A 20,293-nucleotide genomic window follows, 5' to 3' on the forward strand; every position below is an offset into this window, starting at 1 on the left:
ATCGGTCTTAACGATCTTTCTTCTAGAAAGGTACAAAAGAGTTTTTAAATTATTCACATGGCAATTCCTAAAATATTTGAAAATAGCTATCCTTGCTTTTTGTATTTTTATCCCAGGCTGAAGATAGCTCCTTCAAATATTACTTATTTAATGTGATTTCCAGAACTTCATGGATCAGTTATCTTTAACTGATTTGATCAGTTAAAATTTGATCAGTTAGAATTTGATCATTCTAAATAAAACCCCTATCTCCTACTGACCACCTTATTATTGTTCATGTTACGATTGAAAGTGGAAAAGGATAAGGGAAGGTGAATGCACAATTGTCCTTGAGGCTGGAAAAGTAACACAAACCATATGCTGTCCACAATTTAAGTCAGGAGTGGTATTTAAGCATATGGTTCTACATATTTGGTTTATATTAGAAATGGACATGTGAAAAAAGTTAGTTAGGAATCTAATAGTGTTGCCCAGTGTGCCACAATGTGTGTTTATTAAGGCTGCCCCCTGCCTTTTTTGCATGTCCTTTGTTTTATATTTTATTTTTATTATTGTATTTCAAGCTGTTCTCCTCAATGCAAACAAAAAGGTATTTATCATTATTGTGTTACTTATAGTCTTTTTCTTTTTCTTTTTTTTTTTGAGACGGAGTTTCGAGCCCAGGCTGAACTGGAGTGCAATGGCACCATCTCGGTTCACCACAACATCCACCTCCTGGATTCAAGCGATTCTTCTGCCTCAGCCTCCCAAGTAGCTGGAATTACAGGCATGCGCCACCACGCCCTGCTACTCTTGTATTTTTAGTAGAGACAGGGTGTGCTGAAATCAGGAGCAGACATAGAAGAAATGCAGAGAATAAAAGTTCCAATAATCAATACAACTGGCAACAAATATTGCTAAGAAATAGACAAGATTTAAAAGAAGAAAAACAGCATCACTGAAAGAAAGAAACTTGGAAAGAATGCTTTTATTTCATGACTCTAATTTATAGTAACCCTCTTCCTCATCCAAGTTCAGAACCAATTGAGAGGTAAACAAAGGGGTCAAGTAGATTATGGTAGACTGTTTCACTGTAGTCCCCAATAAACAACAGGTCAAGTAACTTGCTTTGGACTTGCTTTGAATACAACTTACGTGAGTGATCTTAGCTAAATCACATGTAGTATAAGAACTACCAAAGTGAGCCCAGTCAACCCACAAAATTATGAGAAAAAATAAATTGGTCTTGTTTCAGCCACTGACAGGTTTGTTACTCAAAAATAAGTAACTGAAACATTGATGTAGGCCAAATGACAGAGTTATTGGCAAACATGGCTAAGGTATATGGCCTATTGGTTTTCCTAAAACTAAGCCCCAGAATTAGATTGCCTTACTGACCTACACATTCTTGGAAAATGCCTAACTGGAAGTCCCATCTCACAGATGTTGCATGTGTCCCATGTAAATTTTACAGCACGAAGAGCAAAGCAAATACATCCTGTGAAGGTAGGAGCATTCTAAAGAAAAAAATAAGATGAACTTGGCCATGCCATTTCAATTTTAGCTCTCAGACTTAATCAAAGAACTCACTCCTCTTTTCCAGAGGATTCAAGGAACAGAGTAACTCAGGAAATAGAAACAAAAAGGTCATCTTTATTGTTATCTCTCCACATGAAAACACAGAGTAGGTGAAAAAGATGTTCTCAATTTCCATCCCCACTGTTACCACCAAACAGAGATTACATTTTATCCTGAATTCAGATCTCCAATCAGGGGACCTCATTTTACAATCTGAATTTATGATGAAGTTTTATCATCCTTAAGATTCAGGGTATGTCTTATATAAGTTGTTTCTTCCTCAATATTCAATTCAATGCCTAACATATGGTAGGCATGTTGGATTAAATGAATAAATAAAAGCTTAAACACAACATACATTTACTCATTGAATTCACTCAGAATTATTTTTAGTATAGAAAAAATTCTCTATTGTGAATTTTTAGTGTATTTTAGCTAGTATAATTAATTAAAAATAAAACAATGCATATTAAGTATTTATGATTTCTGCCTGAGTCCTACTAAATGTACTTTTAAAATCACCTTCAACCTCTGAGCTCTATGATGGGCTGCATGGAATTTAATTACTATTAATTACTGCTATTATTTCCTGATGTTGCTTATCAGAATATTTTATTTTTGTGCCAATTAGAGTATAATTATTAGGATAATGGACTCTACAAAAACTAATTATGCCATGAGACTAGATTGGATTTATCTCTAGTAATTGAGTTTCACAATTTAAGATCAAAATAAGTGAATCAAAAAGAAAATGTAGAATCATTAATCCCCCAGGCATCAACAATAAGGTTGATTTGCTTTTCTATCCCAAATTAAGCTGTTATTTTACAGTGTCATATCAGTTGATAAATAGACCCAATTCACCATGAGTAAAACTATGTTTAACCACTTACAATTCAGCCTCACGCCACATATTCTTCACAATTTTTCTTTAACCAGAGCTTTATATTTGATCCAGAATACTGCAAATTTGTGGGAAGTTATTGGTTATCCTATTTACTGGGAAGCAACTGAATGTTAACCCCAGACACCAAGTTACCATGTGACCTGAGGTGCTCATCCTGAACTGAGTATTGTGGGGACAAACTATAAAATTAGGTATGCATGGCTGCACTCCAACATTAAGTGGAAGTTGTATATGTGAGACTGGACTGAAGGAAGCCCTGAGGAACAAGTAAGTTACATGAGGAAGCAGCCCAAATGCCCATGGTTCCTACTCCTACCATGTTCTCTTCTCTCTCCAGTCCACATTTACTGCCTCATTAGAGAGTTCTCTATAATCAATTGACTGAAGAAAAAGGGCCTAGTTTACACAGGGTTCTGTGCAGTATGTAGGTATGGCCTAAAAGTAAATAGATTCAACACGATAGCCCTGTTTTGAGATATCCTTGAAGAACACTAATGAACAGAAATTCTCCCAATGGGCAGAACTTGGAGCAGTGCATCTGGATGTTTGTTTGCTTGAAATAAGAAATAGTCAGAGTTTCTGTTATAAACCAATTCATGGGATGTGGCGAGTGGTTTGGCTGTATAGTTAGGTCTGTTTCCTGAAGACTAGAGCAGCTCCATTTAATGAAGGAGAAAATTATTACTGGCTTGCTGTTTAGATCTTTTTTTTCTTAGATGATGGTGAACTTCTTTCAACAAGCTTTTCATAGAATTTTATTTAGCTTATGACTACCTAACAATAGAAATATTAAAAAATAGGAATTACTTATATAATCTAACCTACCTTACTGAAGTTCTACATTAATGTTATAATCAACATTATAAGAAACAGGACAGAGAAAAGTGGGAAAAACTGTTTAATGTGTAAGAGTTTTATTTTGGAATGATGGAAATGTTTTGGAACTACTGGCAGTGATTGCACAACATTGTGAATGAACTAAATGCCACTGAATTGTTTACTTTAAAATGGTGAATTTTATGTTATGTCAATTTCACCTCAAAAAGTAAATTTTTAAAAATTATGACAAATGTCAATATGTGTGTATTAGTTTGCTAGGGCTGCCATAACAAAATACTACAGACTGGATGTCTTAAACAACAGAGATTTATTTGCTTACAGTTCTGGAGGCTAGAAGTCCAAGATCAAGGCATCAACAGGTTCGCTTTCTTCTGAGGGCTCTCTCCTTGGCTTGTAGATGGGCATTCTCTCTCTCTACCCTCACATAGTCTTTCATCTATGCATGTGTATTCTTGCTCTGTTCAAATTCCCTCTTGTTATAAAGACATCACCTTAGTGGCCTCATTTTAACTTAATCATCTCTTAAAAGGCTGTATTTTCAAATACAGTCACATTCTTAGGTACTGCAGGTTAAGCTAAGGATGGCCAGGTCAAGTTATCTTTGTATTCCTTTGTCAAAATAAAAAAAAAAATCAAGTATTCTTCCCCAAAACACCAACTTTTTAATAGTGATTTTATACCCCAGGTCTATCTGACTCTGAAGTCTTTGTTGTTTCCAATATATTTGCTATTAGCCAACTATATATTGTATATATACAATATATAGTTGTATATATATATATATATATATATACTATATATATATTGTATAGTTGGCTAATAAATACCACATATATAAGCCAACTATACCACGGACCACAGAGAGATGGCACAGGCAGTATTAAGACAACAACAACAACAATAGTAAAGTCTTGTAGTTGATAAATAAAAAAGTAGGAGTAGTACACTGAGAGCAAATGTCAAATGAGAAAACATTGAGATAAAAAAGTACATTGATAAACCATCTGTAATTTTAACTATACACATGTTACGTAATTAATGTATGCTAGACACCTTGCTAAGTTATTTACTTTCCTTAACTCAATACATCCTCATAGTCCTATGAGGCAGCCAATCATTGTGTCTTCTGAAACAGCAGAAGATTTGTATGTTGTTTTTATCTACAGAGAGACAGGTCTAATAAATCATCTGTTTTCCTTACAGATGGGTGAAACTTGTTTACGTGTCAAAATGTTTTATGCTTCTTTCCCATCATTCCGCCCCCAAATCACATATTACAGATGTTCACATGGTAGAAAATCCAAATGATTGTGTTATAGCTCCATACTCCATCAAAAAGAGCACACCTAAGCAAAAGTTGGAGAAGAATGTGGTGACGTAATATCCACAATGATTCTGTTTCTTTCTTTTCTTTCCCTAAAGGGCCATATTTGTAGCTTATCTTTGATTACCTGTGATTATCAATAACCCATTCACTTCCACACTAAGTGTAACTAATTGTTAGAAAAGAGTTTGGAACACAGAGAGACAGACAGAGAGTGAGAGAGAGAGAGAGAGACTGATCAGGGAAATGCAGTCAAAATTTACAAAATGGGTTTCCTTTTTTTTTTTTTTTGGTAGAAGTTGTAATGTACTCAATAGTAGCAGTCCTCCCTCTGAGATACTACCACTTCCTAGAATTGACTTTAGGATTTTTTTCGTTATAATAATGAAATTTCTCTAGAATAAATATGTAGCCTAGATCTTCTTAGTGGTAGATTTATGGTCATGTTTAGAAGGGACAATTGTGTAGATTTAACTTTGTAAAGTTTAATTTTAGGAAGAGAAAAAGGAATAAATATTTCTATAACTAATACACTCTTCCATGAAATCCTGTCCTGAAGAAATTCCTGAATATACACATAGCTCTTCTATCTATTAAACTTCTTCCCAAAGGAACACACATTTAAATTCCCATGATATTTGTAAATATTTAAGTTAGAAAGTGAATTTTTGCCATTTCCCATAGGAAATCAAACAATGTACTTTATGCTAGTCACATTGCAAATAATCATATCTCAGAATTTCATTTGTAATTGCCTTCAAACATTACCATATAAACTGTTAGGAATTTACTGCATTTTATTAACTATATTACCCATATCTAAGATATTATTGCCACATCCAGTGTCTTAAAGCATTTGCCTTATGTTTTCTTCTAAAAATTGTATAGTTTTATGTCTTACATTTAGGCTTGTAATCCTTTTTGAGTTACTTTTTATATATGACGTTGGATTAGGGTCCAACTTTATTGTTTTGCATGTGGAAATCTACTTTTCTCAACACCATTATTTTCCTTCTATTATAGATCCAGGGGTAGGTGTACAGGTTTGTTATATAGTTGTATTGTCTAATGCTGGGGCTTGGGCTTCTGGTGAATCCATCACCAAATAGTAAATATAGTATCCAATAGGTAGCTTTTTCAACCCTTGCCCCTCTCCCTATTTCCTTTCTTTTGGTGTCCTCAGTCTGTTATTTCATCCTTATGTCCATGACAGCACCAATTTTTAAAGAGATTTTGCTTTTCCCATTGAAGTCTTCTGGGAATATAACCCTCCAAGTTGAAAGCAGGGTCTCAAAGAGACATTTTTACACCTATGTTTATAGCTGCTTTACACAATAGCTAAACTATAAAAGAAACTTGTGTCCTTCGACTGTTGAATAGGCAGCAAAATGTTGTATATACATAAAATGGAATATTATTCAGCCCTACAAAAGAATGAAATTCAGACATGCTGCAACATAGATGAACCTTGAGGACATTATGCGAGGTGAAATAAGCCAGTTACAAGAAGACCAAAACTATGCAACTCCATTTATATGAGGTCCTTAGAGCACACATAAAACAGAAAGTAGAATGCTGGTTTCCAAGGGGTGGGGGAGATGGAAATGGGAAATTATTCTTTAATTGGTATAAAGTTTCAATTGAAACTTTACAATTTCATCAAGTACATCATCAAATTGTACTTCATCAGGTACAATTTACTTGGTGAAGAGTGATGTGGCTGAATAGTGGTGATGACAGTGAAACATCGTGAATGTATTTCATTCCAGCAAAATGCACACTTAAAAATAGTTTGCATGGTAAATTTTACATTATGGGTATTTTAACCACAATAACAAATTAGAAAAACACATACTTACAGGGAGAGTAAAAGAAAGATGCTTTGTGTAAATATTCATATAGTTTTGGATAAGAGCCCTCAGTGGGTATTTTACTCTGACATTATTAAACCCAATGTTTTTCTCATATTCACTATAATATATATTTCCTTATCTGTAAAAATTTGTATGGAATCTATTACATTTTACCTGTAACATTTATTTTTTTAAAGTGTTTGATGATAGAAAGATAAATGGTAAGGTCATGTGATCTATATGTTCTAACCAACAAATAATAATAACTAATGGATGCTAGGCTTAATACCTGCATGACAAAAATAATCTGTACAACAATCCCCAATGACACAAGTTTACCTATGTAACAAACCTGCACTCATATTCTTGAACTTAAAATAAAAAGTTAAAAATAATAATGATAAACAGAGAAAATGAGTCAATATGAAAAACTGGGGAAAGGTGTGTATAATTAATTAGAAGTTCAGTAAGACTTGGTAAGATTTATTATTAAGAGAAAAAAACCACTACAAAAGTCAGTGAAAGATATTAAAAAAGAACTTTGCAAGTAGTATCAGGAAAAATAAAGCTCCTATATTCCAGTATTAAAGAATCATATCTAATTTAGTATTAGAATGTTTTATCTGGTTCTTCCCATTAGACTGCTTTATTCTTTTTTTTAAATTTTATTATTCTTATACTTTAAGTTTTAGGGTACATGTGTATAACGTGCAGGTTTGTTACATATGTATACATGTGCCATGTTGGTGTGCTGCACCCATTAACTCGTCATTTAGCATTAGGTATATCTCCTAATGCTATCCCTCCCCCCTCCCCCCACCCCACAACAGTCACCAGTGTGTGATGTTCCCCTTCCTGTGGCCATGTGTTCTCATTGTTCAATTCCCACCTATGAGTGAGAACATGCGGTGTTTGGTTTTTTGCCTTTGTGATAGTTTGCTGTGAATGATGGTTTCCAGTTTCATCCATGTCCCTACAAAGGATATTAACTCATCATTTTTTATGGCTGCATAGTATTCCATGGTGTATATGTGCCACACTTTCTTAATTCAGTCTATCGTTGTTGGACATTGAGGTTGGTTCCAAGTCTTTGCTATTGTGAATAGTGCCACAATAAACATACGTGTGCATGTGTCTTTATAGCAGCATGATTTATAATCCTTTGGGTATATACCCAGTAATGGGATGGCTGGGTCAAATGGTATTTCTAGTTCTAGATCCCTGAGGAATCGCCACACTGACTTCCACAATGCTTGAACTAGTTTATAGCCCCACCAACAGTGTAAAAGTGTTCCTATTTCTCCACATCTTCTCCAGCACCTGTTGTTTCCTGACTTTTTAATGATCCCCATTCTAACTGGTGTGAGATGGTATCTCATTGTGGTTTTGATTTGCATTTCTCTGATGGCCAGTGATCATGGAGCATTTTTTCATGTGTTTTTTGGCTGCATAAATGTCTTCTTTTGCGAAGTGTCTGTTCAAGTCCTTCACCCACTTTTTGATGGGGTTGTTTGTTTTTTTCTTGTAAATTTGTTTGAGTTCATCATAGATTCTGGATATTAGCCCTTTGTCAGATGAGTAGGTTGCAAAAGATTTCTCCCATTCTGTAGGTTGCCTGTTCACTCTGATGGTAGTTTCTTTTGCTGTGCAGAAGCTCTTTAGTTTAGTCAGATCCCATTTGCCAATTTTGGCTTTTGTTGCCATTGCTTTTGGTGTTTTAGACGTGAAGTCCTTGCCCATGCCTATGTCCTGAATGGTCATGCCTAGGTTTTCTTCTAGGGTTTTTATGGTTTTAAGTCTAACATTTAAGTCTTTAATCTATCTTGAATTAATTTTTGTATAAGGTGTAAGGAAGGGATCCAGTTTCAGCTTTCTACATATGGCTAGCCAGTTTTCCCAGCACCATTTATTAAATAGGGAATCATTTCCCCATTGCTTGTTTTTCTCAGGTTTGTCAAAGATCAGATAGTTGTAGATATGCAGCATTATTTCTGAGGACTCTGTTCTGTTCCATTGATCTATATCTCTGTTTTGGTACCAGTACCTTCCTGTTTTGGTTACTGTAGCCTTGTAGTATAGTTTGAAGTCAGGTAACATGATGCCTCCAGCTTTGTTCTTTTGGCATAGGATTGACTTGGTGATGCGGGCTGTTTTTTGGTTCCATATGAACTTTAAAGTAGTTTTTTCCAATTCTGTGAAGAAAGTCATTGGTAGCTTGATGGGGATGGCATTGAATCTATAAATTACCTGGGGCAGTATGGCCGTTTTCACGATATTGATTCTTCCTACCCATGAGCATGGAATGTTCTTCCATTTGTTTGTATCCTCTTTTATTTCCTTGAGCAGTTGTTTGTACTTCTCCTTGAAGAGGTCCTTCACATCCCTTGTAAGTTGGATTCCTAGGTATTTTATTCTCTTTGAAGCAATTGTGAATGGGAATTCACTCATGATTTGGCTCTCTGTTTGTCTGTTATTGGTGTAAAAGAATGCTTGTGATTTTTGTACATTGATTCTGTATCCTGAGACTTTGCTGAAGTTGCTTATCAGCTTAAGGAGATTTTGGGCTGAGACGATGGGGTTTTCTAAATATACAATCATGTCATCTGCAAACAGGGACAATTTGACTTCCTCTTTCCTAATTGAATACCCTTTATTTCCTTCTCCTGCCTAATTGCCCTGGCCAGAACGTCCAACACTATGTTCAATAGGAGTGGTGAGAGAGGGCATCCCTGTCTTGTGCCAGTTTTCAAAGGGAATGCTTCCAGTTTTTGCCCATTCAGTATGATATTGGCTGTGGGTTTGTCATAGATAGCTCTTATTATTTTGAAATACGTCCCATCAATACCTAATTTATTGAGAGTTTTTAGCATGAAGGTTGTTGAATTTTGTCAAAGGTCTTTTCTGCATCTATTGAGATAATCATATGTTTTTTGTCTTTGGTTCTGTTTATATGCTGGATTACATTTATTGATTTGCGTATATTGAACCAGCCTTGCATCCCAGGGATGAAGCCCACTTGATCATGGTGGATAAGCTTTTTCATGTGCTGCTGGATTTGGTTTGCCAGTATTTTGTTGAGGATTTTTGCATCGATGTTCATGAAGGATATTGGTCTAAAATTCTCTTTTTTGGTTGTGTCTCTGCCAGGCTTTGGTATCAGGATGATGCTGGCCTCATAAAATGAGTTAGGGAGGATTCTCTCTTTTTCTATTGATTGGAATAGTTTCAGAAGGAATGGTACCAGCTCCTTCTTGTACCTCTGGTAGAATTTGGCTGTGAATCCATCTGGTCCTGGACTTTTTTTCTTGGGTAAGCTATTGATTGTTGCCTCAATTTCAGATCCTCTTATTGGTCTATTCAGAGATTCAACTTCTTCCTGGTTTAGTCTTGGGAGGATGTATGTGTCGACGAATTTATCCATTTCTTCTAAATTTTCTAGTCTATTTGTGTAGAGGTGTTTATAGTATTCTCTGAAGGTAGTTTGCATTTCTGTGGGATCGGTGGTGATATCCCCTTTATCATTTTTTATTGTGTCTATTTGATTCTTCTCTCTTTTTTTCTTTATTAGTCTTGCTAGCGGTCTATCAATTTTGTTGATCTTTTCAGAAAACCGGCTCTTGGATTCATTAATTTTTTGAAGGGTTTTTTGTGTCTCTATTTCCTTCAGTTCTGCTCTGATCTTAGTTATTTCTTGTCTTCTGCTAGCTTTTGAATGTGTTTGCTCTTGCTTTTCTAGCTCTTTTTAATTGTGATGTTAGGGTGTCAATTTCAGATCTTTCCTGCTTTCTTTTGTGGGCATTTAGTGCTATAAATTTCCCTCTACACACTGCTTTGAATGTGTCCCAGAGATTCTGGTATGTTGTGTCTTTGTTCTTGTCAGTTTCAAAGAACATCTTTATTTCTGCCTTCATTTCATTATTTACCCAGTAGTCATTCAAGAGCAGGTTGTTCAGTTTCCATGTAGTTGAGTGGTTTTGAGTGAGTTTCTTAATCCTGCATTCTAGTTTGATTGCACTGTGGTCTGAGAGATAGTTTGTTATCATTTCTGTTCTTTTACATTTGTTGAGGAGTGCTTTACTTCCAACTATGTGGTCAGTTTTGGAGTAGGTGTGGTGTGGTGCTGAAAGAATGTATATTCTGTTGATTTGGGGTGGAGAGTTCTGTAGATGTCTATTAGGTCCACTTGGTGCAGAGCTGAGTTCAATTTCTGGGTATCCTTGTTAGACTGCTTTATTCTAAGACTGCCAAAGAAACCTTCAACAGCATCAAAAAATGGAAAACTTATTTCAGGGACAATTCAATTATTTTATGAAGTTATATGTTGACTTTCATGAAAGGTAAGAAATCTGATTTTAGTGACTAAATAATAAACAAATAAGAACAATAAAGGTAAATACCATTAAAAACAAAGTAGCTAAAGAGTCAAGATGTAGCTAAAACCAAGCTCAACTGCCTTGATGTGTGTCTGTGAATTTGTGAGGCAGTAAATGTTTACAAGTTCCACTCCATATCCTCAAACGTCTCTGTCCTCAAAGGCAAAACCCAAAGTAAAATAACTTAAAAGGGAGGTTTTTAGCTAGATATAAAAATAACACAACAAAATGTTTTTGTTATTCTTAGGATAGTAAGAGATTCTCTCTGCAAGTCTTTGAGATGGCAACATGCAACTTCATATATATTTACAATAGCTGAGTCACCAACGAGCTTCAGAGCTGCAGATTAGCTCATATGTTCTCCAAAGTTTCCACTGATTCTGTTGTTCTACCTTCCCTCAATTAATAGCACATAGCCAATCACTCCAGTGTTTTCACAATTTATTTTGTCTCTCACACACACAATCACTTGTGCATGAAACTGTGAACCCATGTGTACACACACACTTTAATCTGCTATGTAGGACTATGTTTTATTTAGGCCTTTACACACACATATGCTAATATTTCTATCTTCCCACTTAATTCATTACACATATATCCTTTTTATGATAAAAATAAAATGCCATTATAAAAATCAAATTTTGGAATTATATATTTTTCTTTCTAACATTTATAGGTAGTATAAATTCTTATTTGCGTAGAACTAGTTTTTTACAGAGACAAAATACTGATGTTATTTTTAAAGTTTTCCATAATTCCTCCACCAAAAATAAAATTATACTATTTAATCTTATGAAGTCTCAACAATTCTCATTCTTCAAAAGCAAAGAGAATTAGATATTCTCTAATATCTGCTTTTCAGTATGATTGGCATTGTTATGCTAAACTCTTCTACTTTGAAATTATGTCTTCTAGGCATAACATCACTTTATTTTGAATGAATGACATTCTAAATGTCTAAATTCCAAGTGACATCTTGTTTATCTAGAATTCCTGAGGCCTAAAATTGTTTTTAATGAAATTTAAGTTAGATGTTCTCAATTTAGTTTAACAATTTTGCAAAAACAAAACAAGTGCTTACAAGTCTTATTCCCCAGTCAAATAAAACATTGTAAGTATGAACCCCCTAACACTTTCATAGAAATAAAAATCATCTATAGTTTTCTTTCCTCACGTGAAACAAATCAGGATGCATCTCTGAAAGTTAAAAGATCATGTCACTCCTATATTTAGTTTTCTTCTATTTCTGCTTCCCAATTCTCCACTTGCTGGTAGCAATACTGGCAAAAATAAAACTGTTAAGATGATACTTCTGTCACAACAGTTTCAAAAAGCCTCTATAGAACAATGCAGCAATCTTTTAAATTTATCCACTTCTTTCATTCTCTCATTCTTCAAAAGATCTACCCACAATTGTACTTTAATAAATACATCACAAGACAAACAATGAACCTATTAGGATATGTGGCATATAATGTAGACTTTTTCCTTCTGAATTAATGTTTGAATTTTTAATTTTGCTTTGAAAATTACAAAAATAAAAAACAGAAACATAAAATATTTCAAAGTCTCAAGATATACATGTGGCCAACAAGCATATGAAAAAAAGCTCAACATCACTTATCATTAGAGAAATGCAAATCAAAATCACAATGAGATACCATCTCACACCAATCTGAATGGCTATTATCAAAAAGTCAAAAATAACAGATGCTGACAAGGTTGTGGAGGAAAATAAATGTGTATACATTGTTGGGAGTGTAAATTGATTTGACTATTGTGAAAAGCAGTATGGAAATTCCTCAAAGATATAAAAATGGAAGTACCATTTGACCCAGTAATCCCATTACTGAGTATATACCCAAAGGAATATAAATCATTCTATCAAAAAGATACATGCATATGTATGTTCATTGCAGCACTATTCATAATACCAAAGACATGGAATCAACATAAGTTCACATCAATGACAGACTGGATAAAGAAAATGTGGTACATGTACAATATACACCATGGAATACTATACAGCTATAAAAAATAATGAGATCATGTCATTTTCAGAAACATGGATGAAGTTGGAGGCCATCATTCTTGGCAAACTAATGCTGGAACAGAAAAGCAAATACCATATGTTCCCACTTATAAGTGGAAGCTAAATAATAAGAATACCTGTACATCGAGGGGGAATAACAGACACTGGGGCCTACCAGCAGATTGAAGTTTGGAAGAGGGAGAGGAGAAATAACTAATGGTTACTAGGTTTAATACCTGGGTGATGAAATAATCTGTACCACAAAACCCTGTGACATGAGTTTACCTATAGAAAAAACCTGCAGATGTACCCCTGAACTTAAAATAAAAATTAAAAAAATAATTATTTGATATATTATATTTGAGTATTCATTTATTTATGATAAAAAAGATCATTGTTTTTCCTCCAAGCTACAATATAATATTTGTTCTCATTTATTATTATCCACCTGATCACAAAAAATGACTTTGTAAAATGTTTACTTTTTATGAGTATGTTCTGCTTTACCAATAGTTGTTCATTTTTTCTGCCATACTGCCACATTCTACATCTCCAGGAGGCACTTTTCACATTGTATTCTATGCCGTGTAGTGCATATTCAGCTTGAAATGATAGATGATTAATTTTGATAGATAATTGATTTTATTCTAAATATTATGCTATTGTTGTACTGACAGCACCATATGTTCTCATTAGTCAAAATTCTCAACTGCCAACAATGTAAATGCATTAGATTCTGAAAAGCAATGCTTGGAGAACTTTTAGCAACATGACAAACTAAGGTGATGCATGCAGTGCTCTTATACATTAAAACAAAAAAGTTTGATAAATTAGAGCAATTAAATAAAAAGTCTAACTCAAAAGAAAGGGATAGCCTCATATACCAAAATAAGAGAACAAAGAAAGCCATAATTTTAAGATGAAAGTGAACTTCTAAGTAAATTATGTCAAGACAGGCTCTGAGATCAGGGAGTCTAGATTTCTAATACTCATTGTAAGATAAGAAACTTATTATTAAATACATACGAGGTTCACATGGACACATGGCAGGGTACAACACACACTGGGGCCTGGTTAAAAATGGGGGTTGTGGGGAAGGAGAGCATCAGGAAGAAGAGCTAATGGATGCTGGGCTTAATACCTGGATGATGGGTTGATCTGTGCAGGAAACCACCGTGGTGCACGTTTACCTATGTAACAAACCTGCACATCCTGCACATGTACCCAGTAACTTAAAATAAAAGTTAAAGGAAAAAAATAAGAAAAAGAAAAATAAGAAAAGAAAATCATCCAAACCAAAAAAAAAAAAAAAAAGCACCACCACCAACAATAAACAACCAAGCAACCAAGCAAGCAATGTAGTGTTCCCCTAACTCAGCATCAAACACAACACTTCTTCCCATCAGCATGCATTATTGGGCAGTTTTCAGTGCGATTAGGACTTCCAGTGAAAAGTGATTTTTACAAAATCAAAGCCTCAATTATGGGCCACACACAGATTAGGGTCCAAACTTGCATGGTATGAATTGTGATGATGTTTTTAATAAGAGGAGTTGGAAAGGAATTAGAAGTTAATCACTAGGAGAATACCTAAATAATATTTGGTAGATGCCCACTACAGCATACGAACTTAGAAAAAGAAAGACTAGTGTACATAGAACTACATAGGTAGATACTAAAATATACTTTTAAGTGAAAAAGTCATGAACTCAAATGAAATTTATAGCATGATACAATTAACAAACCTATACCACTCACGCATTCAAAATGCCACAGTATATATTTTATAAAGATAAGTTCATAATAAAATACACTTATCAAATCTATTGAACAGGATATTTATGATAAGAATGAAATATACATTTGCTTCTGGAATGTAACAGCAAATTAAAATAATATAAATGGTCCCAAAAGTAAGGGAGAGGTTGTGCATAAACCAATTATGACACCATGGTAGGATGGAGGGTAGCAAATAACTCAATATATCTAATTCCCATTAAATCATATGATAAAACAAAACATAGGCTTACAAACAATTTACAGAACAAGAAATAAATAATCCAGCAATTATAAAATACACACTTATTTAATTAAATAATAACTGTCTGCTCAGGTTGCCACAACATACCACAGACTGAGTGGCTTTAACAACAAAGTTTACTTTCTCACAGTCCTGGATACTGGGAAGTCCAAGATGAAGGTGGTGGCTGATTAAATTCCTGGTGAATGTACTCTCTCTCTAGATTGCAGATAGCTGCCTTCTTATTGTGTCCTGACATAGTAGAGAGAGACAGCTTTGGTGTCTCTTTCTTTTTTTCCAAAGGCACCATCCGTTTCAGATTTGGGTCCCTTCTTTACGGTTTCATTTGACCTTAATTACCTCCTTGTACAGCCTGTCTCCAAAGACCATCACAGTGAAGGTTAAGGGCTTCAAAAAAATTTGGAGGGACACAATCTAGTTCATAGCTACAATTAAAACACTATGTATGAAACTTGCGGGATACCACCAAAGAGATTGGGGCAGCAGTTCCAATTCTGACATGATACCAAGAGGAGCTCTGCAGACCTACTTCCCAATAAAATGAATCATACTTATTTTTAAATACACACACAGAGAGACCCCGACATTTAAATGTTTCACAATGGTCTTAAAGGCATACAACAAATGAAGAAATCTTTAATAAATATTAATAAAATAAAATTAATAATATTCAATAAATATCTAATAAATTTTACCAGTAAAAGTGAGTCTGTCATTTACCTGTTGCGAAACCAAGTTCTAAGCAGACCAATTAAGAGATAGGGTTTCCCATTTGCAATGCAGACTCCACTCACAGGATGGAGGCTTTGCTTGGGATATGTTGATGTTAAAAATACTGGGTCCCCCAATCCTCTTTGCACGAGTTTTTGGGGTGGAGGTTTTATACTAGAAAAGCCAAGCCAAGAAGACTTGGAGCTGTGGCCCCTTCTACCACGTACTCAGCTATTAAACGAAGAATGTCATTCAAGAGAAGCTCACCATGGCCCTTGCCCCCAGCGCAAAGCCATGGCTTAAAGATTTTGTGCTGGACAAAAGCAGGCCACAAAACAGAGAGCTGCAAATTTCTCCCTTCTTAGGAAACATCATTTGCAACTGAATTTGGAGAAGTTCAAGACTAAGGGCATTCTCGAAATCACTGGAGCTTGCAGTGAAAGGCTCTTGGGAAGAGAATGGTAGTTCCTTGAAGACATAATCTAAACTACAGGCCAACTAGTTTGCCGGAGATAACTGGTGAAAAAGAAAGTTGCGAGGCCATTTTTGGGGACCAGAACAAATCTCGAATACTGACCTGGGAAACTATTCTCTCAAAGGAGCTCAAGTTTCATTGGATCAGTCTACAAAACAATTTATTTCCCAGGACCTTGTTGAAAACAATAGCAATTAGCAGAGTTCAACAGCTTGCTGTGGCCAGGGAAAGAAAAAAGAGAGCCCTGCCAAATCCATTGTGATTCCAGGATGACTGTGGACCTAGCCAAGGCTTTGCACCCTAAGAAGGCTCAGAGGCTTTATACTGTCCAGAAGTAAAGAAAGGGATAAGAAAATGCTAACATTTTAACACAGGGGAATAATATTTGACAATTAAAATAAATAAACTGGGTTTAAATTTATCAACACAGATCCATCTCAGAAGTATAATGCTGAGTGAAAAAATAGATAAGCACAAAATTCAGAAAAATAATTGTTACCTTAGTGAAGAGAGTGAAACTGAATTAAGGAAAAACATAACAATGTTCCAACTTTATGAATAACTTTTTATTTCCATAAACGTGACAGGAAGAAAATATGAAAATAACTTTTCTTATGATTAATTTTTTATTTCTAATTATATTTTGATGTATATTAATTTAAATAAAGGTTAAGTAGTCTTTTATAATTTTCTGTAGTTCTCTTTAGGTTTGAAATGTAGCACAATTTAAATAAAGATTTAAACTATATTAGTAATATGCATTAGTAAGTGAGCTATAAGAACAGCCATAGAAAAACATGTTGCTATGGTTTGCAGGTATCCCCAAAATTCATTAATTTTCCACAACCTTGTCAATATACGATAAAGTTTAATACGCATATTTTTAGCACTTTAGCAATTTCATTCGTAGGTATAAAACTCCAGGAATCTCACCTATATGTGAAAATGAGGCATGTAAATGACCATTCAATGCAACAGTTCTTATCATAGCTATGTAAGAAAACCTCCCACATGTCAACCAAAAGTAGAGTGGTTAACCCGCAGTATAATCATACAATGAAATTTTGCAAGCTTTCAAAGTGAACCAGAGTTACACATGCTAATGTAAATAAATGTTAAATGAAACCGGCCTGGCACGGTGGCTCACACCTGTAATCCGAGCACTTTGGGAGGCAGAGGCAGGAGGATGACCTGAGGTCAGGAGTTCGAGACCAGACTGGCCAACTGAAAATACAAAAATTAGCCAGATGTGGTGGCGGGCACCTGTATTCCCAGCTACTCGGGAGGCTGAGGCAGGAGAATTACTTGAACCCAGGAGGCGGAGGTTGCAGTGAGCTGAGATAGCAACGTCGTACTCTAGCCTGGGACAAGAGCAAAACTCCATCTCCAAATAAATAAATAAATAAACATAATCCATAATCTCAAACAAGAATATGAATTTAAAGCTGCATATATGCAATATAAATAACTATAAATATTTAAAATGAAAATGAAAACAATATAATTTATGTATTTATATATTTGTAATAAAAGTATAAAAACGTGTTTAAGAAACAAAAAAATTCAGATAATGATTTCCCTGGTGTAAAATGATGTGAAATATTATTGAGAAAGATCCAGGTAGCTCCCTCCAGCTGTCTCTTAAAGATTTATTTCTTTAAGAAAAATTGAGGAAAAAAATTATAAAACCCAGTAAAAATCTAAAAGAATACAATTCAGAAAGCTGGCCTCAGATGTAACTTAATAAACATGCTTTTCTTTTATTCCATTATTTCTAACTTTCACAGTGAAGTGTTAAGCAAATATTGAGGTGATAGCTGGAATGAGAAAGTGGTATACTTTCTCCACAACACTCATTGTTTAAAGTAATATACTTATTAAACAGATGCTGAAGTACATATCTGCAATAGTCACTAATTAAAATGCATGAAAAAAATCAAGAAATTATGACACTTTAATACTGTTCATTTTCTCAATTTCTATCACTCAAACATGCCTCCGGAAAAAAAAAATGTTTTTCTTTGAAAAAACCATTTGCCTTATACTTCCAGAAATACTACAACTTGCATTTACGACACTCTTCAAAAATAAAATCTTTTACTTTCAGACTAAATCAATTTAAAAATTGTTTAAGATTTTATATTAAACTTCGTCGAGCTAATGTTATTGCTATTGGATGTGGTTGACTGTATCTATTGACTTTGACATTGTCATTCCGAGTTATAAATATTAATGGTAGCAAAACTTCTATGGATCAATAAATCTCTACAGTGATTTTAAAAATGCCAATTTTGTCTGAAGATTAAAAGTATATTTTGTATATTAACTAAAAACTTCTTCATCAATGATTACATTCTCTCTTCCCAGACTTTCCTCTCTGGTATACAGCCTTGGTCACAGACCAGAAAATCTGTAGTTCACCAAAAGTTTCAAGAATTAAGAGCCAGTGGAATTCACAGTACTTACGGAATTGGATGCCAGGGGATGTGGTGATAATGACTATAGCTCTCACTTCCCAAAGCAAAGTGGACAAAACAGAAATGGGCAGTTTTTCCCATGATTTCTCTGTAGAGAGAAAGAGAAAGTACAGATACATTTTGTTTTTCAAACTTCCAGCCTAATATATTTGTTGGTTGGCCCTATCAAAATCTCAACACATCCAAAACTGAACTAGCTCATGTTCTACTCTATGCCCATCTAACTCCACAAACTTCCTCCTCTCACAGCAATCTCTGACTCTGATAATTGCACCATGACCTGTCCACACAGGGAACCCCCGTCTTTTCTCTATCTCCACCACGATCATTTGAGTTTAGGTCACTATCGCCTCTTGCTTCGACCTTTTCCCATCATCTGCTTGTTTTGCCTCCCTCCGGTTTTCAACTATCCAATATAGTCTACAACAATGATGGTGAGTGGCTCCTCTAACATGAAAAGTGAATCACGTCAGGGCTTTCAAGTTGTGTTTGGTATAATGTTCAAACTTTTCATTATATTTTCAGGACCCTTCTTCACTATCTCCTGCCCATGTATCCACATTCACCTCTTGTCACTTCACCCCTCCACTTTAATCTCCAGCAATACTCACTTACCTTTTAATTTCTTGAATCCAACTAATTCTTCTTGGCCTCCAAGACTTATATGCTAATACCTCTTCTTGAAATATTTCCCATTTCTATTTTTAGTCTAGATAATTCTCAGGTATCTTTCTGGCATAACTTAATGGCTACTTCTTTCAGGATGCCTTATTTGCCCTTCTAGGTTAAGATATGTCCTATTGTATTCACCTGTATTATCTATCCTGTCACAGCATTTATGCATTTTAGTTTATTTGCTTCCTGACTGACCGTAATCTCCATAAAAGCAGGGGCTATTGTCATCTTGCTCACCGTTAAACAGCTAGTACCTGAAACCTGTGTGGCATATAGTTGATGCCTAGAAACTTTTTTTGTGAAGGAGGCGGTAAGCAAATAAATACATTACCAAAAGGAACATAGCAAAGGTTCTTAGGTATGGTATGGTCAGAAAGAACACTCTCATAAGTCAGGCGAAGTCATACATAGGCAGCAGGTATACACAGAAGCCTTGGGTCTACAGTGAGTTAGTTCTCCAAGGTTCAGTACAACTGCCCAGGGCAGATGGAGTCTCATCACCATGTGCTCCATGTAACTCTGCTGCTGAGGGACTCCAAAAGCACTTTGCTCTGGGTTTTATACCCTAGTCCCCAGCTGAGTCACTGTGCTGAAGCACTGTAGAACATCATATGCTGGGAGAAATGAGGACACAAACTGGGCTGTATCACATATTTCCTCTTTATCTCAGAATGTTCCTCTTGGAATGTCTGATAATTGTAACCAAGGAGGAGAAGAACTGGGTCAGCAAAGGCCATCTGGACACCTGTCCTTCTGCAAATCATTAAGGCCCATGCTTCTAGAAAGGGGACAGTGAAACAACATTTATTTGAAATATCATGAATGATAGAAATAACTGGTTATTCTTATTTTTGTTATACTTTATTCAAATATTTTTCAAATGTTTCTTGATAGATAAATAAGGTATCATCCCCCAAGTCTTTTCATAAACTTAGAATTTGGAATCATGTCTCTATGTTTTTTTGGTTTAATAGTTCTCTCTTATTTGTATTTTTGACAGCTTCTTTTGCACAATTATATTTCAC

General features: G+C 34.9%; 1 long non-coding RNA gene across 1 annotated transcript in view; it reads right to left on the minus strand.

The window, feature by feature from the left end:
• LINC02232 (long intergenic non-protein coding RNA 2232) overlaps positions 1-18,680 on the minus strand; it is a 90,220-nt gene extending 71,540 nt beyond the window's left edge. Inside the window, exon 1 of the long non-coding RNA NR_033976.1 lies at positions 18,583-18,680. This is a non-coding gene — a long non-coding RNA (long intergenic non-protein coding RNA 2232). The remainder of the gene's footprint in view (positions 1-18,582) is intronic.
• Between the last annotated feature and the right edge of the window lie 1,613 nt (positions 18,681-20,293).

Source organism: Homo sapiens, chromosome 4 (genome assembly GCF_000001405.40).
Source record: "Homo sapiens chromosome 4, GRCh38.p14 Primary Assembly".
Classification (NCBI taxonomy): domain Eukaryota; kingdom Metazoa; phylum Chordata; class Mammalia; order Primates; family Hominidae; genus Homo; species Homo sapiens.